The sequence below is a fragment of the Homo sapiens genome, chromosome 15 (assembly GCF_000001405.40).
Source record: "Homo sapiens chromosome 15, GRCh38.p14 Primary Assembly".
Classification (NCBI taxonomy): Eukaryota; Metazoa; Chordata; class Mammalia; order Primates; family Hominidae; genus Homo; species Homo sapiens.
The window spans coordinates 59189584-59216631 of NC_000015.10; the positions used below are offsets into that span (position 1 = coordinate 59189584).

The 27048-nt window shown below is 43.6% G+C and overlaps 2 protein-coding genes and 1 pseudogene across 2 annotated transcripts in view; 1 reads left to right on the plus strand and 2 right to left on the minus strand.

Moving 5' to 3' along the window:
- MYO1E (myosin IE) overlaps nt 1-27048 on the minus strand; it is a 240438-nt gene that overhangs the window by 57150 nt on the left and 156240 nt on the right. The window contains exons 11-17 of the mRNA NM_004998.4: nt 25057-25137; nt 24645-24731; nt 20931-21017; nt 19098-19265; nt 15817-15902; nt 12743-12824; nt 5878-5984 (exon numbers count right to left, since the gene is read on the minus strand). Coding sequence (NP_004989.2) covers nt 5878-5984; nt 12743-12824; nt 15817-15902; nt 19098-19265; nt 20931-21017; nt 24645-24731; nt 25057-25137 — 698 coding nt within the window. The remainder of the gene's footprint in view (nt 1-5877; nt 5985-12742; nt 12825-15816; nt 15903-19097; nt 19266-20930; nt 21018-24644; nt 24732-25056; nt 25138-27048) is intronic.
- Nucleotides 17260-19005, plus strand: LDHAL6B (lactate dehydrogenase A like 6B). Its single transcript, NM_033195.3, has one exon. It carries the CDS (start codon nt 17358-17360, stop codon nt 18501-18503), a length of 1146 nt encoding a protein of 381 aa, NP_149972.1. The 5' UTR covers nt 17260-17357; the 3' UTR covers nt 18504-19005.
- On the minus strand, nt 23065-23205 carry RNU4-80P (RNA, U4 small nuclear 80, pseudogene; annotated as a pseudogene).

Consider the following 27048-nt stretch of genomic DNA (forward strand, 5'->3'; position numbering starts at 1 on the left):
TTCTTTCTTGAGACAGAGTCTTGCTTTGTCATCTAGGCTGGAGTGCAGTGGCAAAATCTCGGCTCTCTGCAAACTCCGCCTTGTGGGTTCAAGAGATTCTCCTGCCTCAGCATCTCGAATAGCTGGAATTACAGGCATGTGCCACCATGCCTGGGTAATTTTTTGTCTTTTTTCGTAGAGACGGGGTTTCGCCATGTTGGCCAGGCTGGTCTCGAACTCCTGGCCTCAGGTGATCCACCACGCCTGGCCCATCCTGGTTTCTTAACAGTAAAAATCTAGCAATGTCTTTTGAAAAAATGGATGTAAAGAACTATTAGGTTAATATTCTCACACATGAGGATTTTCATACCAGAAGATGCCCCATGCCCCACACCTTGGGGATGCTGATTTAGTAGGCCTGCACCTTGGGGAGGCTATTTTAGTACACCTGCTGGGTCTAAGGTGGAGCACGGACATGTGCCTTGTGAAAACCCACCACTTGCTGGAAAACACAGTGCTCTGGATGCCGACAGATCCTGAAAACTTGCTTCAGATCATCCACTCTGGGAAGATAAATTGGGCCTGGGCTGCGTGCTGCGCGAGCTGGCTGAACCAGACACTTGGAAACATGGTATTTGAGGCAAATTAGACATAAAAAGTAAGGTCTCTCTCTTTCGAAGATGGAATGTCAGGATTGTGCTGCAGTAGGGAGGTAACTCCTCACACTCCCTGTTTGGTACATTTGGGGATATCTGTGCTGATAACGGGGCTAATGCGCTCAGCAAAATGGGCCTTTCAGGAGCTGCTGAGCTGAAAAGACAATCAGAAGCATCCTCATTCCGATGTCACGCAGGTTCCCAACAGCTGTCTTCCCAGTAAGGCTCTCACAAAAACCACCATTTCCAATTAAGTCTCATACTTGCGGATGTCTACTGTGGGCCAGTCACACACAGTGCCTATTGCAACATGCTAGGGTCACCAAAAAAGGACAATGCTATGATTCCTGCTGGAGCCCACACAGGCAGCACAGTGGTTAGGAGCCAGGTTCTGGTGCTGCATTCCTGCTGCGCCACTGGCCCTGCCACGATGCAACTTCTCTGTGCCTCTCAGTTTCCTCTTCTGTAAAAACAGGAATGGTGGCATAAATTCTTTATTTCTAGACGAGTACTTTCTATGGAAAGCACTTAGTTCGTAGCACGAGCATGTAAAGCTGTTATTATCGTCATCCATTCCCAGCTACAATATGTAAACCAGGATAGGAGAATAGAGAAGGAAGTGGATTTTTCACAGCACAGGGATTCTCAGGAGCACTGTGATGTGCCTGGGCCTGGAGGGGCGAGTTGAATCCATGAGGTATACAGGACAAGGCAGAGGGCTGTGAAAGCAAAGGTACAAGAATAGGAAAGGCCAGTGGCAGGGTGCTGTGGGACAGGAGGAGGGGGACAGATGAAGCTCGAAGTGGGGGTGCAACCTTGGCTGATGGGAAGGATGTCACAATGGGAGTGGTGTTTAAGAGTCTCCAGTTTGATGGGTCTTACAGAGCCAAGAGCCAGAAATGTTGATTCCTCTAAGATTATTAACTTTCAGAAAGCCTCTGTGTGCAAAGAGTTAAGCCGGGCATAGTGGCTCACGCTTGTAATCCCAGCACTTTGGGAGGCCGAGGCGGGCAAATCATGAGGTCAGGAGTTCGAGACCAGCCTGGCCAACACAGTGAAACCCCGTCTGTACTAAATATCCACCTTTGCCCATATAAGTCAGACAGACAGAGACAGAGAGAGAGAGAGAGAGAGAGAGAGAGAGAGAGAGAAAGAAATGTCATGTCAATTAAAAAGGTAATTAAATTGAAAAATAATTAATTTTCCTTTCTCTCACCCTCCAAATCTAAAACTCGCCACTGGCCTTTTCTCTAGTGAGAAAAATGCATGAAAAATGCATTTAAAGGTTCTGCTCATTTTAAAGTACTTTTCATAAACACTGGCTTCACGCCAAGCTTTCGAGGCAGGGAATGCATCACCCATTAATTCAAGCAGAAACGTTCCTCTCCCATGAATCACATAGGAAGGAATATTCCTCATGTTAAAACATTGTTTCATTCATTATAACTTCCACCATCAGGAAATTTTCTGGTAGAAATGAGTCTAGCAAGTCCTGTAATGTTTAAAATTTGGGGGTCATCAAAGCGACACAAGTTGATTTTTGCATATTCCTGGAGCACTGTCACCTCCTCAGTAGTCGTTGATCAGACAATGCCCAGTTGTTCCCTAGGCTATGCCAACTCCATCTTGCAGAGGGAGTCTTTTTCCAAGACTGTCCCTGGCCGTTTACTCAAATTGATCAGGGCTAGAGAACTCTGCAAGGCAGCAATTCAGAATGCAGGGCAAGCAACCTTGCCAGAAGCCAAACAAAAACGCATTTGCAACAGGAAAAGAAAAACCCTACACCTCATAAACTTGTGGAATGAGTAACCCTCTTTACCAGGAGCTTCAACTGGGTGTGTAATCCCAGCCAGTGAAGCACACTGCCCTTTCACGGACCCTAACACTCCTGACTCATGGATGGAGTGAAACCATTTGTTACACAATAAACCCAAACCAGGATTAAGGGTGGAATCCCAGAAAGCGGTCTTACTGGAATTATAAATCAACGCTCGACCAACTAATACCTTGAACTTCTTAAAACCAGTTTATTTGAATGCATGTCATAAAATTCTTTGCTGCAATTCAAAGGGGAATCATTTAAAAAAAAAAAAAAGAAAAGAGAAAATACCATCCTCATCCTATGAGGATTTACTGAATAAAATGTACCACTCATTTAATTTCTCCATTTTCTGATATTCCAATGAATTATGTTGGATTTTTACAAGGAAGTAGCATCAGGGTTGGTGAACTTCCAAGCAGCTATTGCAAAATTTCTATTTTAGAGGGGCTTTCAGTAGAACTATCTACGTGGGGTAGAGGAGGGTGTGCTAGGGGGCATTGATCAGACAATGCCCAGTTGTTCCCTAGGCTATGCCAACTCCGTCTTGCAGAGGGAGTCTTTTTCCAAGACTGTCAAAATGCATTTGTAGGGCAAGTGAGATGTTTTCATTTAAGAGTATTTGCTGGGAAGAGCAGGTGGATAGAGTTTGAAATGGGGGAAGGTGGGCTAAGGCCCCCTTTGGCAATACCTCTGCTTCCAAGACTCTCATGGTTTATTTCTAAGGTTGACTAAAGATTTGGTTGGAGTAATCATATTGGGATATTGATTTAATATCACTGTTCTGTTGTGTGTGTGTACATGTGGATGTATGTGTGGGTGGGTGTACAAGTGTGGGTATGTGTGAGAGGTGAGTGTAAAAGTGACAGAGACAGAGGCAGACTGACAGCCACTGTCTGGAAGCCTTCATTCTGTCAGACTGAAGGAGATCCTATTCTAGATGGACCCTCTTAAGAGGAAGGAACTGAGGGCTAAGGAGATGAAGAGTCTCGCTCTAACAACTTAGTGATAGGTCAGCACCGGGACACAGTCTAGTTCTTTGCTCTAGATCAGTGATTCTCAAAGTGCAGTGCCTGGGCCATCATCACCAGCACCACCTGCAAGATTTTTAAGATGCACATTCATGGGCCCCACCTGAGACCCACTGCATCAGAAACTCGGGATGGAGCCCAGCAATCTCAGCTTTAACAAGGCCTCCTGGGGATCCTGAGGCAGGCTCAAGTATGGGAACCAATGTAAGAGAGCAAAACAAGATGTTTTCTGTATGATTGATTGATTGATTGACTTGGGGTCTCACTCTAACAGCTGGGCTGGAGTGCAGTGGCTCAATCATGGCTCTCTGCAGCCTCAAACTCCTGGGTGTAAGCATTTTACATCTTTAGAGGAGAAGAGATGACAATGCTGCTACCCTCTTAGTCTGAAAGGAGAAGCGGAACTATACATTTCAGAAAAGCAGAGGCCAAATTAAGTACCTCCAAGAGAAGGGCTAAGATGGGGAATGCTTATATTTCATGTCCTAGAGAAACTGTTGACGGAACTGAGAGGGATTAACCTGTAGAAGAGAAGATTCAAGAGAAACACGACGGTCACCTCGAACTAACAGAAAAGGTGTCCAGTGGCAAAGTAATGAGAATGATTCTTATCGCAGATTGAAAACCTGGGATTAGGATAAAAGTGACCTAGAGAAGGACTGTACAGCCTCCTAAAGTAAGAATTGACCAAAGAAGAGCTGGTCACCTTAGCAAGTATGAGCTCCTCATCCGGGCCTGAATATCATTAACGGACAATATTGTAGAAGGAATCTGACTACATTAAATTGAAAAATTTCAGAGATTCAATAGAAAAGATGCCTTAAGCGGTCAGGGGTGGTGGCTCACACCTGTAATCCCAGCACTTTGGGAGGCCGAGGCAGTTGGATCACGAAGTCAGGAGTTCAAAACCAGCCTGGTCAAGATGGTGAAACCCCATCTCTACTAAAAATATAGAAGTAGCCAGGCATGATGGTGGGCACCTGTAATCTCAACTACTCAGGAGGCTGAGGCAGGAGAATCACTGGAAACCGGGAGGCAGAGGTTGCAGTGAACCAAGATCATGCCGCTGCACTCCAGCCTGGGTGACAGAGCGAGACTCTTGTCTCCAAAAAAAAAAAAAATCCTTAAGAATATGCATCTATGGATGAGATTATTCAGAACATAGTGGCCTGAAAAGATGGCAGCTCTTACATCCAAGCAGCCTGGCTTCTTCAGAGGAGAGAACAGACTTAGACTGCATGCCGAAGTATTCAATATTAAATAGAACGAACTTTCAGACAGTAAATGTTTGACCTACGTGTTTTTCTTACTATGGATCTGTTTCCTCCTGTAAAGGATCAGGCATCATCTATCTGCCATGGTTTAGGATCTTACTGGCAGGAAGGAAAATGGACACACCTGTCCCTCGCAGGAGATAATCGGCAGCTAGGAATTTTAGTCCTTGTCTTCCTGTGGAAGCTAAACCTGGAGTTCTTCACTCGACACCTAAAAGAGCCTACCTTCTTTTCTCCAAGAGAGAAGACAAGAGGTAGCAATTCTGGTAGGCTCCCATCCTGGGACTGATACTAGGTGACGATGGCTAGGGTCCTCTCTGTAGTTTAAGTCTCTCCCTCCTTCCCATGCTTCTATGGACAGTGGGATCAGGCCTCTGAACAATGTGTGTCTGGGTCTCCCAGCGGGCCACAAAATTCATACCCTCTAGCCACCACCTTAACAGGCTCCTCCTCAATGCCGCCATTTCTTCCTGCCCAGGCCACTTCCCTAAATCCTAGCTGTGGGAGGAACAGTGATGCAGGCTTCACTGGAAGTCAGGGCAGAAAGGGTTTGCTGAATTCTTGTGCTCTGCATTTCCCTTTGACATCTTTCCTCCCAGAGTCGTTCTTCTCATCAATACGGTGCTTAGGGGGAATGCCAGAGCCTCCAGCTTGTCCCCAGTGTCTTCACGAGGCACAGCAAATGCTGGATTGTATTTCCATCAGCTCTTACGCCCTCCACTTTCCACCCCAAGCTAAGCATTCTAGGCCACATCCTGTGGGTCCCGATCAGGGGCTGGGTGGACTAAGAATGTCTACACAGAACCTCAAACTGATTTTAAAACCATCATGACTCTGCGGTATGAGGTTATGTTTTGTTTTTTTTCCATCTGCCCCCAGACTAGCCAAGATCAACATTATAAACTGCTAATGCTGAAATGAATGGCACTGCTAACATTTTAGCAAATGACACGGAGGGGAAACAGTATACAGCTTTTGTCCTGAAAAAGTTAAGATGCAAGGGCATGACAAAGACATGTGCGGACAACTGACACTGCTCCTGCCTGTGATGGAGGACGGCTCATCTTGAGCAGAGGGAAAAAGGTCCCGGCCCCACCTAAGCCGGTTTCCCCCGATACCTGCTTTCCTCCCAGTCTCTGGGCTTCTTGGTTTCGTTTGGCTTGATGCAGCGAATGTAGTGGGGCGTACATTTCATCAGGGTGCTCACAAGGTCATTGGCTTGTTTCTAGAAAGGAAGAACAGTATCAGAATCATGGAACTTTCTCTAAAGAAGACCAAATTTCAAAGGAGACTTGTAAAACTCTCTTGTAGAAATACATAGCTAGGAATTAATCTTCATGACAATTTGCTCGTTAAGCATAACTCAGGTCTACTAAACTTTCCGAAAGCTTTGCCGACTTTTATGATGATTTTATCACTCCTAAATGGGTTTGAAATTCAATCTTCAAAAGCAACTAGGCATTTTCAGTACAGTTAATAAAATAGAACAACAACAAAAAACAAAAATCCCAATAAATCTTCACATACAAAATGATTTTCAGGTGGTACAGTGAAGCATGTCAGTTAACAAACTAAGTTCATTTTATGCTGATAGAGCGCCTTTGAAGATATATTGTTCTCATTAACTTTTTTTCCCCCAAAATTATTTGTAAGGATAAATCATCAAATCCCCTACACTCTCTTTTCTGGCAATCCAACTAATGAAGAATCACTTTGCTAAAGTGATGAAAATTCATAGTTAAAGAATGGGAGATTCATAAAAATCTGAGAATTTATAAACTTTTGATATTCCATTTCATTCAGTTTCTTCCTCAATATGGCCATTTAAAAACCTGCAGAGTCTGAACACTTTATCTGTGGCTGCCAACTTACTTCTTTGCAAATCTAGAATATTCTATATAAAACCTTCTATTAATGCCTGTGCACTGGGTACTCAAAGTAGAACTGGATTCAAGCAGAAAAAGCCACATAAAGCTGAAATTGCTTATGAAGTATTTTAAACCCTGAGAATCTCAAACTTTGTTTGAAGAAACAGGAGTAGAGCTCACATCAGCATTCCCACCCCACAGCTGAGCACACCCTGTGGGTCCAAGGATGTGGCACACATGCGAACTCCACTTCCAAGCAAAGCAGCCTAAAGAGAGAAAACCTCTAAAAGAAAAAAAGCCAAAAGGGACCTCCAAAGCCAGAAAACCATTACAGTCAGCAGAAGAGATTTGCTTGCAAGACACAACCCTGTCTCAATTAGGACTTTTCTGTTTTCATGGGTTTGGGAAATCTGAAACCCTTGAGAAAAACTATTGAGTATATTCAAAGCAAGATATTCATTGGTGAATTAAGTTCTCTGTTTAGATGTGCAGGAAATAGCATTCTTTGCGATGCTTGAAATTGAGGACAGACAGGGCTGCAGAGGTTGCATGATCAAAGCAAAGCCCTATGATGAAAAAGTAAATTGCCTCTTATGTTCTTTGATGATGCAGACTGCACTTGAGAACAAATTTGATGATTTTTGCAACACATCAGGTGGAGCCGGAGAGGGACTGCAGGGTTGAATATAGCACAGCTTTTTTTTGTTCTTAAAATCCCCAAATTCTTAATTTTTTAAACTTCATTTTTAGATTTTAGTTTTGTATTTAATTACGACTTTTTTTTTTTTTTTTTTTTTTTTGAGATGGAGTCTCACTCTGAGGCCCAGGCTGGAGTGCAGTGGCGTGATCTCTGCTCATTGCAACCTCTGCCTCCCGAGTTCAAGCGATTCGCCTGCCTCCGCCTCCCGAGTAGCTGGGACTACAGGCGTATGCCACCAGGCCCAACTAATTTTTGTAATTATAGTAGAGATGGGGTTTCACCATGTTGGTCAGGCTGGTCTCGAGCTCCTGACCTCAGGTGATCCACCCGCCTCAGCCTCTCAAAGTGCTGGGATTACAGGCGTGAGCCACTGTGCCCAGCCTACAACTTTTAATTTCCAAGAATAACTTTGCAAACTCTTTTGTCCTAAGTATTTAACAGCATTCCTTCTTTTTCACCTCAGCATAAGAAAACATAGAGAGGCAAGTGTAACTTAAGTTTATAAGTCACTTGCCATAGTCCTCTCCAGCTAAAATAGTGACAGATAACATTTACTGAGTTTGCAGTGCAGATTAGATACATGTATTATCTCATTTACGCCTCACAACAACCTGAAGAGGTGGCTACTATTTAATATTATTCCTGTTTTTTAGATGAGAAAGCTGGGCCTTAAAGAAACAAAGTATTGCTCAAGATGACACAATTTGCATGAAAGAGAAGTAAGGCTTGAACCCACGCCCATGGGCTACCAAGCCTGTTCTTTGGCAACAATCCTATCCTGCCTTGCTGACAAAGAGATGGGATCATTTAGTGTGATATAAAAGGAATTAACTGGTTGAGGTAGGATTAGACAGAAGCCACCAGGCTGTGAATAATTAATTTCAGCAAACAGAAATACATCTTAACCATCAAAATTATCCTGTATTTCAATAGCTATGGGTCAACTTTATTTACCTATTTTTAATTTTTGAAACAGGGTCTTGCTCTGTTGTCCAGGCTGGAGTAGAGTGGCATGATCACAGCTCACTGGAGCCTTGGCCTCCCAAGCTCGAGTGATCCTTCCACCTCAGCCCTCTGTGTAGCTGGGACTGGAAGCACATGCCACCACACCCAGCTAATTTTTGAAAAAAAATTTTTGTAGAGGTGGGGTCTCACTATATTTCCCAGGCTCGTCTCCAATCCTGGCCTCAAGCAATCTTCCCACCTTGGCCTCCCAGAGTGCTGAGATTACAGGTGTGAGCCACTGTGCCCAACCTTGGGTCAACTTAAGATGTCTGCTGAGGTGGTTGTGAAGCAGTAACTGAATTTAATCCTGATTCCAGCCAAGAAGGGTTCCTGAGTTAGGACAGAAAAGTACCAACAGCACTTGCTCAACAGAAGCAGGTGTTAAAATACGCAGACAGCACAGTGAGAAACGGCTCAGGGTGAAAGCTCCTCATTCTACCTTCAACAGAGATGACAGCAGGCCTGACTGTGGGTCCTGGCACTTTTATTTGCAAGTTACATGACTAATCACTAGATTTCTCTGGTCCTCAGTTCTCTATCTGTAAACTAAGTAGGTTGAACTAGAAGACCTCTAATTTAATCTAGAGATTGAAATACATATTAAAAAACAAACAATCAGGCTGGGTGCAACGGCTCACTCCTGTAATCTCAGCACTTCGGGAGGCTGAGGCAGGCGGATCAATTGAAGTCAGGAGTTCGAGACCAGCCTGGCCAACATGGTGAAACTTCGTCTCTACTAAAAAAAATACCAAAAAATTAGCTGAGCATGGTGGTGCCACCTGTAGTCCAGCCACGTGGGAGGATGAGGCAGGAGGATCGCTTGAATCTGGGAGGCAGAGGTTGCAGTGAGCCAAGATCGCATCACTGCCCTTCAGCCTGGGTGACACAGCAAGGCTCCATCTCAAGAAAAAAAACAAAAAAAAAACAAACCAAAAAAACCCCCAACCAATCCAATCACCTGCATGATGCCTGTACTTCCTCTGTCATGTCCCTTATAGCTCCAGCTGCACTCAGATAAAGCTATAGCCAGTCTGCCTTTGCCACCTCTGAGCTTGGTTCTGTTTCTCCGTAGCATCAATCTTTGGCTCTAATTTAAATATGGGATGAGTATCCCTTATCCGAAATGCTTGGGAAGGGAAGTGTTTCGGATTTTGGATTTTTTCAGATTTTGGAATATTGGCATTATACTTTATTTTTTGAGATGGAGTCTCGCTCTGTCGCCCAGGCTGGAGTTCAGTGGCATGATCTCGGCTCACTTGCAACCTCCACCTCCTGGGCTCAACCAATTCTCCTGCCTCAGCCTCCTGAGTAGCTGGCATTACAGGCTCCTGCCACCATGCCCAGCTAATTTTTGTATTTTTAGTAGAGATGGGGTTTCACCATGTTGGCCAGACTGACCTCAAATGATCCAGCCACCTCGGTCTCCCAAAGTGCTAGGATAACAGCCATGAGCCACTGTGCCCGGCCTGCATTATACTTTATAGTTGAGTACCCCTAATCTGAAAAGCTGAAATCCAAAATGCTCCAAAATTTGAAACTTTTTGAGCACCAACACGATGCTCAGAGGAAATGCTCATTGGAGCATTTCAGGATTTGAGATGCTCAACCTGTACTTGTCCCTTCCAGACACGACAATATCGAATTAAGTAAAACCTCAAAATCAAATGCTATTAAATATTACTATATTTATACTTTTATTTATAATCAATATAATAAGAGTTCCCATCAAATGAATATTCTATTAGTTAAATCCTACAAATCAGTTTAAATTTTTAAATAATTAGAATATAATGAAATCTATAACACTACGATGACCTTGAACACAAGTTTAATTTTTCTTTCAAGGAACTCAGAATCCTTTTAAACGCTTACGCCTCAGGGACATCGTTAAGATGACAATGATGTCTGCAAATTACTGTAGATATGGAACGTATCAGCGATTGGGCCATGGCTATGTATCTGTAAGAGGTACTGGGAGAGACTTTTATTCCTACGTGGAGGCAGACAGCCAGGCAGACAGAGGTCACAACATCCACCAAGGAGATTGTGCCTGGAGGTGGGAAAACATGCTGTACTCTCTTTAGGTAAACTGCTGACTTCAGCTTGACCTCCCTAGACAAGGGCCTGAGACTTGTAAACCTAAACATTTTGGAAACATCCCACAATGGTGGCACTTTGAGCCTTCAACCAGACAAGCATACGAAGGAAAGAAAGGGGACAAGTCTTTAAGGAGGAAAAAGTGTCCCTACCCTTGCTCTCCTTTTTATAGACAATAATCCAGACCACTTGAAAATGAGTCATCATAACCTGGATGATCTGGGCCCCTTGGATCTGAATGTGACAGTCTTATGACTCGATTTTCCAGCCCAGAGTTAATCCTTATCCAGGACTTTGCAGTAAAGGCATGAGTCAGACACTTCACGCAGACATTAATATCTGGGCCTCATGAGAATTTCATTTGTTTTCTGCCTTCAGCAATCTGCCCCAGTGAGCCTAACCCAGGGACTGTCCTGAGGCTACTAAATGTCTCTAGTTCTTTCAACATGATGTTCTTGACGCTCAGAGGGCTCTACCCTACAGCTGAAAGCCCAGGCTGGACTCGGTGGCTTGTGCCTGTAATCCTAGCATTTTGGGAGTCTGAGGTGGATCGCTTGAGCCCAGGAGTTCAAGACCAGCCTAGGTGACATTGTGACACCCCAACTTTACAAAAAAGAAAAAAACAACAATTAAGCAGAGACCAACAACGGCGATACAGGAAAGGGGCTAATGGGAAAGAATGTAGTCAGAGCATACATATACATCTTGTGTTCAGTATGCCTCAGGCACTGCGTTACATGCTTCCAATGAATTATGAAGCTGAATCATCACAGTAATCTCTTAAGATAGACACTAATATCTTAAGATAGACTCTTAAGATAGACTCCATTTTACAGGGAAGCGGTGAGGGCACTGAGAGCGTAAGTAACACCTTGGCAAGCACACAGCGAGGAAAAGCCAGAGCTGAGATTCGAACACAGGCGAGCAAACTCAAAGCCCTGCTGTCACTCAACCATTCCTTTGATTGTAAAACTGAGGAAGTATTCAGCTGGTATAATTTTTAAAAAAATTATTCTTAACCAGTATGATTTTAAAAAATAGCTCAGTGAGTATTTCTTAGAGTTACATGATTGTGTGTGACACAATGACAAAAACTATTTTTTTTTTTTTTTGGAGACAGGGTCTCGTTCTGTCCCCCAGGCTGGAGCAATCATGGCTCACTGCAGCTTTGACTTCCTTGACTAAAGCGATCCTCCTTCCTTAGCCTCCCAAGTAGCTGAGAGCATAAGATGTGAGCCACTACACCTCATTTTTATTTTTAGTAGAGATGGGGTTCTCATTATATCGCACAGGTTGGTCTCGAACTCCTGGGGTCAAGTAATCCTCCCTCCTCGGCCTCCAAAAGTGTTGGGATTACAGGCCAGAGCCACTACATCTGGCTGACACAGATTTTTTTTTTTTTTTTTTTTGAGATGGAGTTTTACTCTTGTTGCCGAGGCTGGAGTGCAATCGCGCAATCTTGGCTCACTGCAACCTCTGCCTCCAGGGTTCAAGTGATTCTCCTGCCTCAGCCTCCTGAGTAGCTGGGATTACACTCACGTGCCACCACGCCTGGCTAATTTTGTATTTTTAGTAGAGACAGGGTTTCTCCATGTTGGTCAGGCTGGTCTTGAACTCCTGACCTCAGGTGATCCACCCGCCTCAGCCTCCCAAAGTGCTGGGATTACAGGCGTGAGCCACCGCACCCAGCCCACAAACTCTTAATTCAGTGTAATTAAGTGTAAACTCTTAATTCAGTGTAATGGCTCAGGTACCACAGAACCCTGCCTACTTCCTGAGAAACACTGTAAGATTTCCTTCAGACTTTGAGACACCATGTGGCTAGATGTGTCTTCAATTCACAGCAAGGAGAGGCCTGTAGGACCCAGTGAGGAGGGATGCATAAATTGCCCCTAAAAGACCAAGTAGAATTTCTGGCAAGTAACGTTCCATAACTGGCAGGTTTTTGGGCCTGGCCTGGTAAACTGTCAACAGTATCCAAAACATGGCTCCGAACCATATTTCTCTGACAGTTTAACATAAATTCTTCCAGGTTCTGTTTAAAGCCATTTCCTCTTAGAAAGTAGCTGATTATCATCTGCTGACTATTAAGCTATGAGGTACTTAATATCCATTTAAGGTTTCGGTACAGCCAAGTCAAATTCAGCTTGCATCCTGGAACCTTGTAACAAGCAGCGATGTTACTTCTGGGCATCTTCTGTAACCACCTCCTCACGTCTCACTGACCTCATCCTGGCCCAGGGGTGCAGTTCCTTACTCCTAGAAAGCGCTAGCCCTTATAAGAATCTATAAACTTCCTAAAATAGAACTAACCTTTATTTTGCTTCCGGCAGTAGTTGGGCGCCCTTTCTTGTCAGCCTGCAGATTTTCCGGAAATAAAGACTTTATGAAAGGCCTGGAAAAGGAGAAAGAGAATGAATTAACAATCTGTAAGTACCTCTGGGGCTGAAAGCCTGCCTTTCTAGAGGATGGGGTGAAGGGCCGTCCCCAGGCACATAACCTTGGCTACAGAAAAGCCATCTGACTCACAGCGCGGGCCATCAAGATGTGACTTGGGGAAATGAACAACGGACAAAAGTCATGAAGGGAAAGAATTCTAAGATATAAGCAATTTGGAATCAAAGACTGCAAAATAAATTTTAAAACAATGCCTTTCCAACGTCCCTAGTCACAGGAATTGAGGTATATCTTGACAGAACATAACAGAGGGAGGTCAGTAGGGGATTTTAGGTTTTTGTTTTGTTTTTGAGACAGGGTCTCGCTCTACTGCCCAGGTTGGAGCGCAGGGGTTCAATCATGGCTCACTGCAGCCTCGACCTCCCAGACTCAAGCCATCTTCCCACCTCCGCCTCCTGAGTAGCTGGCACTATATATAGGCAGACGCCACCACGTCCAGCTAATTCTTGTATTTTCTTTAGAGATGGGGTTTCGCCATGTTTCCCAGGCTGGTCTCAAACAACTGGACTCAAGAGGTGCTCCTGCCTCAGCCTCCTGAAGTGTTGGGACTACAGGCATGAGGCACTGCGCCTGGCCAGCATGTGTTTGTTAAGACAAGCAAGATAGACCAGAGCTCAGGGAATTATATGAAATGTCTGGATTCAGTGCAGATGCTGCTTTGCTCTAGAGCAGAGTTTCTGAGTCTGGGCACCATTGGTATCTGCGGCTGAATAATTCTTTGTTGGGGGCCGAGGAGGGCGCCTCTTCTACATATTGTGGGATATTTAGCAGCATCCATGGTCTCTGCTCACCAGATGCCAGTAGCACACTGTTCCCAGCTCTACACAGAAAACCCTGACAAACTGCTTTTGAGTATGAGCAATTTTAAGCGGAGCAGTAACAAATCACCAGGCTCTGCCGGCTGAATATACTTTCTTTTTTTTTTTTTTGAGATGGAGTCTCGCTCTGTCACCAGGCTGGAGTGCAGTGGCGCGATCTTGGCTCGCTGCAACCTCTGCCTCCCAGGTTCAAGTGATTCTCCTGCCTCAGCCTCCTGAGTAGCTGGGACTACAAGTGCGTGCCACCACAGCTAATTTTTGTATCGTTAGTAGAGACGGGGTTTCAACATGTTGGCCACAGTGGTCTCGATCTCTTGACCTCGTGATCCACCCACCTTGGCCTCCCAAAGTGCTGTGATTACAGGCATGAGCCACTGCACCCAGCCTGAAGATACTTTCATTAGTGGTGCTATTTGAGCTGCATGTGTTTATACGTCTGCCTCACTAGCAACAGGGCAGGGACAATGCCTTACTCATCTTAGTGTCCCTGGTGTCTGAAGCATAGCATGGTGCACAGTTGGTCCATAATATGTATTTGCTGACTGGGTGAATGACGGGATCCATGTAAATTAGCAATCTGACATTCAAACTCAAACTCACTTCCTCCTCAATGACTTTTTGGGCATCTTGAATTTTCCAGGAAGTCTCCCCAGCAGTCTACTTTTAACTTGACCAGATACAACTACAGATTTTGACATCAAGTGTGTTTACAAAATAATAGGCCATGTCCGTATGACAGCAGTTTATGTGGAAGCAATAATAGCTCTTAAACTTGGCAGGAATTTTAATAATTTTTTAAAAACAATCTCTGGAAGCAAGTCTGCACCTGACTGCCATAAAACCCACAAGCCAGGACTTGTGGCTTACCTAAACATCTCAGAGAAGAACAAATTGATTATGTATGTTTTGAATAAAAAGAAATGCAAAATCTCAGAAATGGTGGTGTGGCTGCAAGGAAGCGCAGGGATGGAGAGCAGAGGGTGAGGAGGGGTAGGGAGCTACAGGGAGAGAAGTAAACGGAGCAGAACAGCTGACCAGGGCCTGAAAAGGAAACTCTTGCTTTGCTTTCATTGCAGTCAGCCCTTTAATAGGAAATTATCAGGCTCGCTGCTGTTGATCAGAGAAGCTGGCCTTGCTATTGTGACAGCTTAACTAATAGAGAGCAAAAGGGCAGCTCTTACTTGAAAGAAGCTCTAGAAATTGTAAGATCTGGCATGCATGGGCCTTGCCTCGCAAGCATGATGGACTTGCTCATGTAAATTACATCTTATGTGTTATCCAGGATCTTGAGAACCTTTTCAGGGAAAAGGGGAGGAAGGCAGAGGTGGTCTTGAGAGTTCTAGCAGCGTGCAAGGGGGATACCCTCCCTCTTCTACCCCTACAGCTGAAACAGGGTCTTGGGAGTTAAAATGGATCTCTTAGTCACTCCTTCTTTAGTTGTCCCTCCCAGAGTTCTCAAGCCATTTCTTCAGTACTTCAGGGACTCTGGTTAATGTGGGTCTTGCTAAGCCATTAACCATCTTTAAAAATTCAACGACCATGAAGAAGAGCTCAGGGGCAAAGTATCATAGAACCAGACTGTTCCACTCTTAAATAGTCAGAAATGGCCATCCCAATCCAAAGCCAGTGGGCTTATTTCTCCCTGATAATAGTATTGAAAGGTAGAAAGCCTGAGGCCCTGAAGGACCTGTAGATGGCACTTGGAATTTGGGGGCATGAAGTGTTAGGGACATAAAAGGGAGAGACTGATATAGAGAAAAGAAAGCTATTTTGAGAAACCAAATAGATTAAATGATAATCCAGACCCAATAGCATGAAGGAACAAAATGCTAACCACTAAACATCACAGGTGTTTTGTTTTGTTTTTGTTTTTTTCTTTATTAGAGACACAGTGTTCCTATGTTGCCTGGCTGGAGGGCAGTGGCTATTGACAGGAGTGATCACAGCTCAGTGCAGCCTCAAACTCCTAGGATCAAGTGATCCTCCTGCCTTAGCCTCCTGAGTAGCTGGGACTATAGGAACACACCACCACACCCAGCTCATAAGTTTGTTTTCATATTGAAAATTTCATCAAACCTATATCCCCTGTCAGCTATGGCAAAACATACTTACAGCTCGCTGCTCTGCATAAGCTCGATGAGATCCATAAAAAGCACATCCCGGTTCCTTTCACAAAAGCCATCCATGTCATAGGATACCTGGCCAAGAATGGAAAGAAATCGAATTTCATTGAACAAAATGTAATTAATTGAACAAAATCATTTATTGAACAAAAAATCTAATTTCACCAAACAAAAAACCAAAGCTGTCATGGCTACCCTCACCACAACATGTGGATTTCCAGATGTTGCATTTGGGATTTCATTGTGCACTGTCACAGGAAGGCTGTGCACGTCTTACTTGTTAGCTGACTTAGTGGGGAAGGCCTGCAGATGCTGATGAGTATCTGGCTGCCTGGATGGCCCAGCTGATCCGTAATCAGAACTCCAGCTCTCAAGTCCCCATACCCCTTCTTCAGTGGATCCATAGGGGTGTCTAAGTGACATACTCAATACTTTTCCTAAATTTTAGCTAAGCCAGAGCAAAAGTGAAGCCCCTCATGCTCAGTAATTCACTGCAATGAGCCATGTCATCTGAGGCTTTGCAGTTTCTCCCAGAAGTGGTATCAAAGTTGCACCAATCTGGCCAGAAACTCATGCTCAGATACTCTGTTTAACAAGAGATCAGCTGGGATGATGGATGAGACCAGGGGATTTCCATAGCACTAGGAAGTCCCCAAGACCACGACCTCAACTTAACTTTTTTATCATCAGCAGCCCCACACAGCCTGGCATCCAGTAGGCACCCAATACTGATGGGCTTTATAAGAACACCAAAAGTGCACTCTGGGCCTTGATTTATACTACCAGTAGGCATGGGGAGACAAGGAATGCCAGTCTGTGATTCCAGCAAGAGGCAAGACGAAAATCCATTTATTCAGCAGCTAATACATGTAGCAGGGTGATTCATTTTCCAAAAATATGCAGTAGTATGCTGAGATTTAGTGCTGGAGTGACTCCCAGCCGGCCCCTACCCTGCTGAAGCCCCAGCCGACTGTCCCAGGGTGGGTCCTGGCCAGGACTGGCACCAAGGCAGTGGAATCCTTTCAAAATAGGCCTCCAGCGCCATAGACCAGAAAGCAGGCGCCCAATTCTGGGACACTGGGAGATGGTGCAGGCAGCCACCAGTACGCAAAGCATAGAGCCCTATCCTTCCTGGCAGGGTCACGGTTCAGAAAACGTAACCTTATTTTCATCTGTAGTTAACAGAAGCATGTTTCCTCAGCATTCATATTAAAAATAAAAAACTAGTAATTCCAGGGATCTCGGTTAGCCTCTTAAGCATGTCAACTATTGATAATACTCTTAGCAAAACTAACTCCAGAAATCACTTGCTAGAGAAGCAGCCCTTCACTGCCTTAGTCTGAGCACCCACGGAAAGCACGTGTCGGAGACTCTGGCAAGGCCCGCGCAGCCGCAGTAGAGGGCCAGGGGGCGGGGCACGCGCACCTGCCGTAGAGTGCTGAAGGTCCTGCCAACGGCTCTCTTGGCGTCTCAACGTTCGGATCAGCAGCTTTTTTCCATTCTCTCTCTCCACTTCTTCAGTGAGCAGCCATGAGTTGGACTGTGCCTGTTGTGCGGGCCAGCCAGAGAGTGAGCTCGGTGGGAGCGAATTTCCTATGCCTGGGGATGGCCCTGTGTCCGCGTCAAGCAACGCGCATCCCGCTCAACGGCACCTGGCTCTTCACCCCCGTGAGCAAGATGGCGACTGTGAAGAGTGAGCTTATTGAGCGTTTCACTTCCGAGAAGCCCGTTCATCACAGTAAGGTCTCCATCATAGGAACTGGATCGGTGGGCATGGCCTGCGCTATCAGCATCTTATTAAAAGGCTTGAGTGATGAACTTGCCCTTGTGGATCTTGATGAAGACAAACTGAAGGGTGAGACGATGGATCTTCAACATGGCAGCCCTTTCACGAAAATGCCAAATATTGTTTGTAGCAAAGATTACTTTGTCACAGCAAACTCCAACCTAGTGATTATCACAGCAGGTGCACGCCAAGAAAAGGGAGAAACGCGCCTTAATTTAGTCCAGCGAAATGTGGCCATCTTCAAGTTAATGATTTCCAGTATTGTCCAGTACAGCCCCCACTGCAAACTGATTATTGTTTCCAATCCAGTGGATATCTTAACTTATGTAGCTTGGAAGTTGAGTGCATTTCCCAAAAACCGTATTATTGGAAGCGGCTGTAATCTGGATACTGCTCGTTTTCGTTTCTTGATTGGACAAAAGCTTGGTATCCATTCTGAAAGCTGCCATGGATGGATCCTCGGAGAGCATGGAGACTCAAGTGTTCCTGTGTGGAGTGGAGTGAACATAGCTGGTGTCCCTTTGAAGGATCTGAACTCTGATATAGGAACTGATAAAGATCCTGAGCAATGGAAAAATGTCCACAAAGAAGTGACTGCAACTGCCTATGAGATTATTAAAATGAAAGGTTATACTTCTTGGGCCATTGGCCTATCTGTGGCCGATTTAACAGAAAGTATTTTGAAGAATCTTAGGAGAATACATCCAGTTTCCACCATAATTAAGGGCCTCTATGGAATAGATGAAGAAGTATTCCTCAGTATTCCTTGTATCCTGGGAGAGAACGGTATTACCAACCTTATAAAGATAAAGCTGACCCCTGAAGAAGAGGCCCATCTGAAAAAAAGTGCAAAAACACTCTGGGAAATTCAGAATAAGCTTAAGCTTTAAAGTTGCCTAAAACTACCATTCCGAAATTATTGAAGAGATCATAGATACAGGATTATATAACGAAATTTTGAATAAACTTGAATTCCTAAAAGATGGAAACAGGAAAGTAGGTAGAGTGATTTTCCTATTTATTTAGTCCTCCAGCTCTTTTATTGAGCATCCACGTGCTGGACGATACTTATTTACAATTCCTAAGTATTTTTGGTACCTCTGATGTAGCAGCACTTGCCATGTTATATATATGTAGTTGGCATTTGGTTCCCAAAAAGTAGGATGTAGGTATTTATTGTGTTCTAGAAATTCCGACTCTTTTCATTAGATATATGCTATTTCTTTCATTCTTGCTGGTTTATACCTATGTTCATTTATATGCTGTAAAAAAGTAGTAGCTTCTTCTACAATGTAAAAATAAATGTACATACAAAAAAATGCAGTAGTATATACAATCTTTTGTTTTGCTTCCTTTGATAGTTAATAAATTCCGTTTGTTGAATCAATAAAATACGGCGAGCCATATGATTTGCTTCATGAGAAACCAGATCACAAACCCAAAGGCTTAAAACAGATAGACATTAAAATGGATATTGGCCATACCTTCCCAGCATAATGATGAATGATGAAGCCTTGGTTCCAACTGTTGAAGTGCTCATGACTCCCAATCTGCATCTGAAGTTTCTGGAGCAGCGTCTGATCTGCCCCCTCACCCACCGCATGCATCGTGGCGCACACGTCATCCAGGATGCTCATGATGCCAGGAGGGTTCTGATGGGAGCAAGAAGGCAAGGCCCTAGTCACTGACCTCTCCAAAACAGACAATGCTTATCAGGTCCTTTCTTAGGCAAGGAAACAGCTCCCCAGACTTAAGATACCATCTTGAAAGTCAGTATTCCCCTTCAGGCAAGAATGCAATTAATAGTCCCAAATAGGGAGTCACCACTTAGATCTAAAGAGGGAGGAAACTCCACTTTCCAAAAAGCTGTTTAACTCCCTGAAGTTTTATCCAAGAGTCATGCACAGATCATTATCTGCTCACTCATAGTCATGCCAAATTGACTTGCTTAAGAATCCAAAAGTAAAAACATTTTCCTTTGACCTAATCTATTTCTTAATGTTCTCTTTCAGCGTGTTACCCATATAGGCATCATTTCGGTAGTTATTTAGTGTACACATTCTATAATGCATTTCCTTTTTCACATAGCACTATTTTATAAGCATTCCTCATGTTTTACACATTCTTCACACTTACTATTTTAATGGCTATACTTCTCTGTTCTGATATGCTATAGTTTGTTTAATAACTAAGTTGTCTGGCCGGGCATGGTGGCTCATGCCTGTAATCCCAGCAATTTAGGAGGCCGAGGGGGGTGGATCACGAGGTCAGGAGTTCAAGACCAGCCTGGCCAACATGGTGAAACCCCCTCTCTACTAAAAATACAAAAATTAGCCAGGTGTGGTGGTGGGCGCCTGTAATCCCAGCTACTCAGGAGGCTGAGACAGGAGAATCGCTTGAACCCGGGAGGTGGAGGTTACAGTGAGCCAAGATGGCGCCACTGCACTCTAGCCTGGGCAACCGAGCGAGACGTCTCTCAAAATAAATAAATAAACATGTAAATAAATAAATAAATAAGTTGTCTACGGATGTTTTTACTGTTTCCAGTTTTTGGCTTTTATATATATAAAAAAATCCTATAGAGATATTTGTTCTGTATCACTTTTATTTTGAATCACCTTTTTTTTTTTTTTTTTTTTTTTTTTTTTTTTGAGACATGGTCTTGCCTTGCTCTGTCACCCAGGCTAGAGTGCAGTGGCACAATCTCAGCTCACCACATCCTCAACCTCCCAGGCTCAAGCGATCCTCCCACCTCAGCCTCCAGAGTAGCTGGGACTACAGGTGCGTGCCACCATGCCTGGCTAATTTTTGTATTTAGCTAATACAATTTTTGTATTAGCTAAATTTTGTGTTTAGAAATAGGGTTTCACCATGTTGCTGGGGCTGGTCTTGAACCCCTGTGCTCAAGCGATCCACCTGCCTCAGCCTCCCAAAGTACTGGGATTACAGGCACGAGCCACCATGACCAGCCTGAATCAGTCATTAAGGCTAAAGTCCTAGAAGTTGGACTAGAACACAGGGCCAATTTTATGGCTCTTTCCATGCTAAGTCATCATGTGATCCTGTCTTCTCTTAGAATTCAATAACAACTTCCATTTGTACATTGACATTTTACTCATATCCACATGTTCATATTTACTGCCAGAATAAAGCCGTACTGTTCTCTTTTCACACATACAGAAAACTAGTACAATTGCTCAAATTCTCTGCAAATCAGAGTTGTCACTTTGCCTGTTCTAAAACAATGACACAGAGAATAAAAACTCACTTAATGTAAACCTGTGAGCAGTGAAAAGACATACTAAATGAACACTTACCACTTTGTTCTCTATGAGGTCACATACGATTTTATTATTAAAGTACTCAATGGGTGTCCATCTTATTCCCTCTTGAACATATTCTTCCTGTAACACAGAGACAAGGAACTCACATTATTTCCCAGATAGCAAGAGCTCTGCACGGACAGACCCTGAATGGACAAAAATTCCCATAAAAGAGAAAAACCTGAATGTCCTGCAACAAAGACCAGGGACTTTAATTTTTATTTTCTAAGAGGTAACAGGAAAGGAACATTTTATGACTTGGTGATTTTTATGTTTAGTTTGAACCCTATGAAATTATTGCCACACAACTGTTTCTGGCCAAAGAAAACTACAATTTAGTAGCACCGAACTGATAAATCCAGTTACAAAAAAATCACAAAACTCTTAAAATTTAACATAGGACTGGGCGCGGTGGCTCACATCTGTAATCCCAGCACTTTGGGAGGCCGAGGTGGGCGGATCACAAGGTCAGGAGTTCGAGACCATCGTGACCAACATGGTGAAACCCTGTCTCTACTAAAAATACAAAAAGAAGCTGAGTGTGGTGGGGCGCGCCTGTAATCCCGGCTACTTGGGAGGCTGAGGCAGGAGAATTGCTTGAACCCAGAAGGTGGAGGTTGAAGTGAGCTGAGATTGTGCCACTGCACTTCAGCCTGGATGACAGAGCGAAACTCCAACTCAAAAAAAAAAAAAAAAATTGAATATAGGACAGGAGTACAGATTAGCATCCAGGTACTTAATGGGAAGGTTCTTCAGTCTATGAGTTGCTCATTTAACTTGAACACCACAACACCATCCTGGTTTTTTCCTCTTTCCTCACTGGTTTCACTTTGTCAGCTTCCTTTGCCAGGTCTTTCTTATTTCCAGACCTTTATATGTGGTAGAGTCTCAGGGCTCAATCTTTCAGCTTTCTCATTTTCTCAGCCCTCCTTCTCTAGGTGATTTCAATCAATCCCATGGCTTTAAATACCACCTACAGGCTAATGACCCCTGAATTTATTTCTCTAGTCTATACCTCGCCACGGGGTTCCAGACTCAAATCCATTCTACAGATTGGAATCTTCACTTGGATGTATGATAGGCCTCTCCCACTTAACCTGTTTAGAGGAACTCTGATTCCATATTTCCCGTGACCTCCAAACAACCCCTCTTCTAATCTTACCCTCCAGTAAACAGTGTCACCATCGGCCCTGTTATCCAGGGTATAAAGCTAAGAATCACCCGTGATTGCTCTTTCTTTCTTGGCTATTGCTAATTATTTTGAGCAAGTCCCATTCTCTCACTCTCCAGATACTCCCCCTCCCCACCTACACTGCTACCATGGCCGTCTAAGTCTCTACCATGTCTAGCGCAGTCTCCTGCAGTATCCCCCTCACTGGTTTTTAAACTTCCATTCTAGTTTGCTTTCCCCTGACTCATCCCACTCTATAAGTCTATAGAGCCAGAGTGACCCTTTCAAAAACACAACAAATCACATCATGTCACTCCTCCCTCAAAATTCTTCAGTGGGTCCTCATTCCACTTACTGTAACACCCAAAGTCTCAGCCATGCCCTGCAAGTTCCCATACAATCTAGCCCCTGCCTCCCCTCTCCCATCTCACTGGCTATTGCACTCTTACTTGGTTGTTTTGCTCTGGCTACTCTAAGGGTTGGGGAAGGCTAGAGGTTCACAGGAAACCCATATGGAAACTACCAAACCAGTTAGGAGACTACTGCAGGAGACTGGGCTAGACGTGGTAGGGACTTAGATGGCAATGGGAGCAATGGGTTTCATGTGAACCTCTAGCCTACCCCACCCCTTAGAGTAGCTACAGCAAAACAACCAAGGGCAGGTTCCAGGGCAGAAGGTCACGTGAAACCCCCTGGTATGGTGTTTCCTAAGCAGAGGCATAAACACTTCCATAACTAAATGACCCCAAACAGCCTTTGATGTGTGTAATGGCTTGAATAGTATCCCCCCAAATTTCACATCCACCTGGAACCTCTCAGAATGTGAGGTTTGGAAATAAGGTCTTTGTAAATGTAATTCACTAAGGATCTCACAATAAGTCATCCTGGGTTTAGAGTGAACTTGAAATCCAAAACAATGGTGTCTTTCTTTTCTTTTTCTTTTTTTTTACAGTTCACTCTCCATAGAGACTGTCAAAAATTGTCAATGCTGACTGTATTTCCAGTCATCATGGCAGGGTATTGTGAAAAGTTTTCAATTAGCAATAATCATGCCTCAGATGAACAGCCCTGGCTAAAATATTGCCATTGCGCAAAGCTAAAATGGTGTCTTCATGAAAGAGACGGAGATTTGGATATAGACACAGAGGGACATTGAAAAAGGCTACGTGAAGACACAGGCAGAGACTGGAGTCAAACTGCCATAAGCCAAGAAATGCCAGGAGCCACCAGAAACTAGAAGAGGAAGGATTCTCCCCTCTATCCTGAGGAGGAGGAGGAGTGTGGCCCTGAGGACTTCTTGACTTCAGACTCTGGGCTCCACAACTGGGAGGGAAGAAACTGCTACTGTTTTAAGTCACTCAGTTTGTGGTGCTTTGTTATGGTGGCCCCAGGAATCCTAAACAATATGCTATCAGGAAACAATGGAAACTGCACTGAACTATTTATTTATTATTATTATTATTATTATTATTATTATTATTATTATTATTATTATTTTGAGACGAAGTCTCGCTCTGTCGCCAAGGCTGGAGTGCAGTGGCACGATCTCAGCTCACTGCAACCTCTGCCTCCTGGGTTCAAGCGATTCTCCTGCCTCAGCCCCCTGAGTAGCTGGGTCTACAGGCACACACCATCACGCCCAGCTAATTTTTGTATTTTTAGTAGAGACGGGGTTTCATCATGTTGGCCAGGCTGGTCTCGAATTCCTGACCTCAAGTGATCTGCCCGTCTCGGCCTCCCAAAGTGCAGGGATTACAGGCATGAGCCACTGCGCCTGGCTATTATTTATTTTTGAGATAGAGTCTTGCTCTGTTGCCTAGGATGGAGTGCAGTGGTGTGATGATATAAGCCTCGACCTCCTGGGCTCAAGCAATCCTTTCACCTCAGCCTCCAGAGTAGCTGGGACTATAGGCTTATGCCACCACGTCCAGCTAATTATTTTATTTTTTTTGTATGGATGGGGTCTCATTTTGTCCCGCAGGCTGGTCTTGAACTCCCGGGCTCAAGCAATTCTCCCGACTCGGCCTCCCAAAGTGCTAGGATTACAGGCACGAGCCACAGCACCCAGCCTGCAGTGAACTTTAGAAGAAACTATACCAAGGCATGTTACCTCAGGTAAGTATTCAAATACCAGCTTTGTTAAAAATGCACGTATTGTTAGGGAAGATTGAAAATGGCGTAGATCTGAGGAAACCAAGTCTTTTATTTGGAACACAATATTTGCCACAGACAGTCGGGGCTGGAACTAGGCTCCCATTTCCCACGTGCTCAATGAGTCAGTAGAGTAAAAGCAGCCAGTCTTACCTCCAACATCACAGCATCATTTGCTTAAAGAAGAAGGCAAATGCTGCAGACGGTATTTATATTTCATAGATTAAAATGCCACAATGGCATATGGTTTTTCTGCCTGACTTTATTAGATGCATTTCCTAATATAAGACTGGAACCGAAATCTATTAACAAAAGACAGAAATCTATACCCTCTTAAACAAAATAAATTATAAATAGAATAGGATGAAGGAAGAGGGACTGCTTACCTGTTCTGCCTTTAATGTCAGTTCAATAAAAATCTGCTGCAGTTTTTCATTAACAAAATTGATACAAAACTGTTCAAAGCCATTTTTCTGGAAAAAAAAAGTTATTCACATGTAATTCTTTCACAAAATCATTTAAAAGTCATTTCTGGAGTGATTTATTGAAATGTCTTCATGTGAAAAGCTTTAATAGAAATGTTGGATGCATCAAAAGAAATAAGTTTATATTTAGGAGAAACTAATTTGGTAAAGGCACATGAAGAACTCACAAAGGCAAAAATGAGCCTGAGTTGTTTTTTTTGTTGTTGTGGTTTGTTTTCTGTTTTTTTGTTTTTGCATTGCCTAGAATTATTTCTTGCAGGCCAGATGAAATACGTCACCCTCCTCAACCCCTAGTTATTAAAACTGGCCTTACCTGGAATATTTCAAAGCCATAGATGTCTAGGACGCCAATGTTGTATTCTTCATGGTCTTTCTCCATGGCTTTATTGATGGACTAGAGAAAGTAAACAGCATGGCAGTGAACTCCTTTCCATTCATACTAAAAACGGGCATGCACTGGGGAAAGGGAAGCTGGATTCTACACGGCAAACACTACTGCTTGCAGGAAACAGAGGACAAGTGAAGGCAGGAGACTTGCTGCTTTAACAATCTCTCAGTCCAAAGTCAAGTACTTTGGAAAACCACCAGGATTCAGAAAAGCGAGTACAGTAGAAACAAAAAATGTTTGTTTAATGATGATAACCATTAATTTCTGTCCAAGTAAGCTTTTTCAGGAAGTCTTAACAATTAGAAAAAAATGTCATCTTGGATGATCGAAGTAAAACCTATTTCACACAAAGAACCCACACTAAAGGATCTGTAATTGTCATTTCCAGTGTCTTCCATTCACCAGTCATTTAATGATGACCCAACACAATATGCCAGGGATGCTAAGGACAAGACAACCCTTGTTCCTAGGCGCTTATAGAGAGGGTGAGCTATCTGCAGATAGTAACAATAGTCATTATTTTTGAATTGATAATAGAAGCAGCTTACGTCTATTAAACATTCACCTTTGCCAGGGTTTGCTAAGTGCTCTCAATGTGTTGTTTCACTTAATTCCCATTTCAGTTCTCAAAATGGCAGTGATACCATTATTTTCCCAATTTTCCACATGGATACACCAAGGCTTGCTTAAGGTTGTTCTATGTAAGAAGCAGGGTCTGGGACTAAATTTAAGCAGTATGATGCCTAAATCTGTGTTCTTAATCACCGTGAGAAGAGGCCAAGCAATTCATGGGAACAGATGTAATGACAGCAAGGGAGGTTTGGATAGAGCGGTTGGTGGGGGATGCAGTGGGGGAGGAATGTAAGCGAACAATTCTTTGAGGTGATGAATACCTGGACGAATTCTGAAGTACCAGAGGTGTTTTCCAGGCAAACAAAATGAAATATCATCTTTTGTGAGCGAATGAGTAATCATACACAACACACAGTCAGTGCCCAGTAAATCCCACCTCAAATTAGGATCACTTATATGAGTATTCATGTACTGGTACTATTCACAAAAAAAACTGACAGGTGACAGGTAGAAAGGTAGGTAGGAAGCCCAGCGCTGGAAGGTGCTCTGAACAAAGAGAAAAGAGATATGGATTCTAGTCCCAGGCTGCACCACCCCCTTGCTGACCAGCCTTGGGCAAAACCACCATTGCTCAGGCCTGAAGTTCCCTTCTCAGTAAAATGAGGGGTCTGGACAACCTAACTGCATGACTTCTGTTTAGTATGACCCTGACCTTCCCAAGCAATGTTATCCTTTAAATAGCCACTAAAGTACCTAGAATAGTTCTCCTACCCTGTCCTGCCTGACCCTACTCTAACCACACTAACCATACCTTAAGCCGTATAAATGTTAGTGCCTGGAATCAAATACAGATCTTTTGGATTGAATGGCCCCCACTGTTGTCCCTTGACTAGGGTCCTTCTAGCTTGAATATATAAACGTCAAAGAAACAAACTAGCTAGGAATCTAGGGCCTCCTAGATCACTCACATAATAACAGAGTGACCTTGGGCAAATTCCTTAATCGATCTATGCCTCCCTTAGTTTATCTGTAAAGCAGAGATAATAATACCTAAGTCACAGGGTTGTTGTAAGAATTAAGTGAGGGTTTTTTCTCTTTAAAATACTCAGAACAGTATCTGGGCACTAACATAGTTAGTTCTATATAAGTGCCTGCTATTATTATTTTACCATTTAGAGGCTACAGTGATTAACAGAGATTGTTACTGGCAGCTCTACACTGCTGAAAGACTAATTGTCAGAATATATATGTGATATACATATATAAATATATATTCATATATAAGAGTTTATGTGTGTGTGTGTGTGTATCTATCTATCTATCTATCTATCTATCTTTTGGATC

Coding starts and splice junctions, on each gene's coding strand:
- LDHAL6B (NM_033195.3), top strand. CDS start 17,358: ATGAGTTGGACTGTGCCTGTTGTGCGGGCCAGCCAGAGAGTGAGCTCG.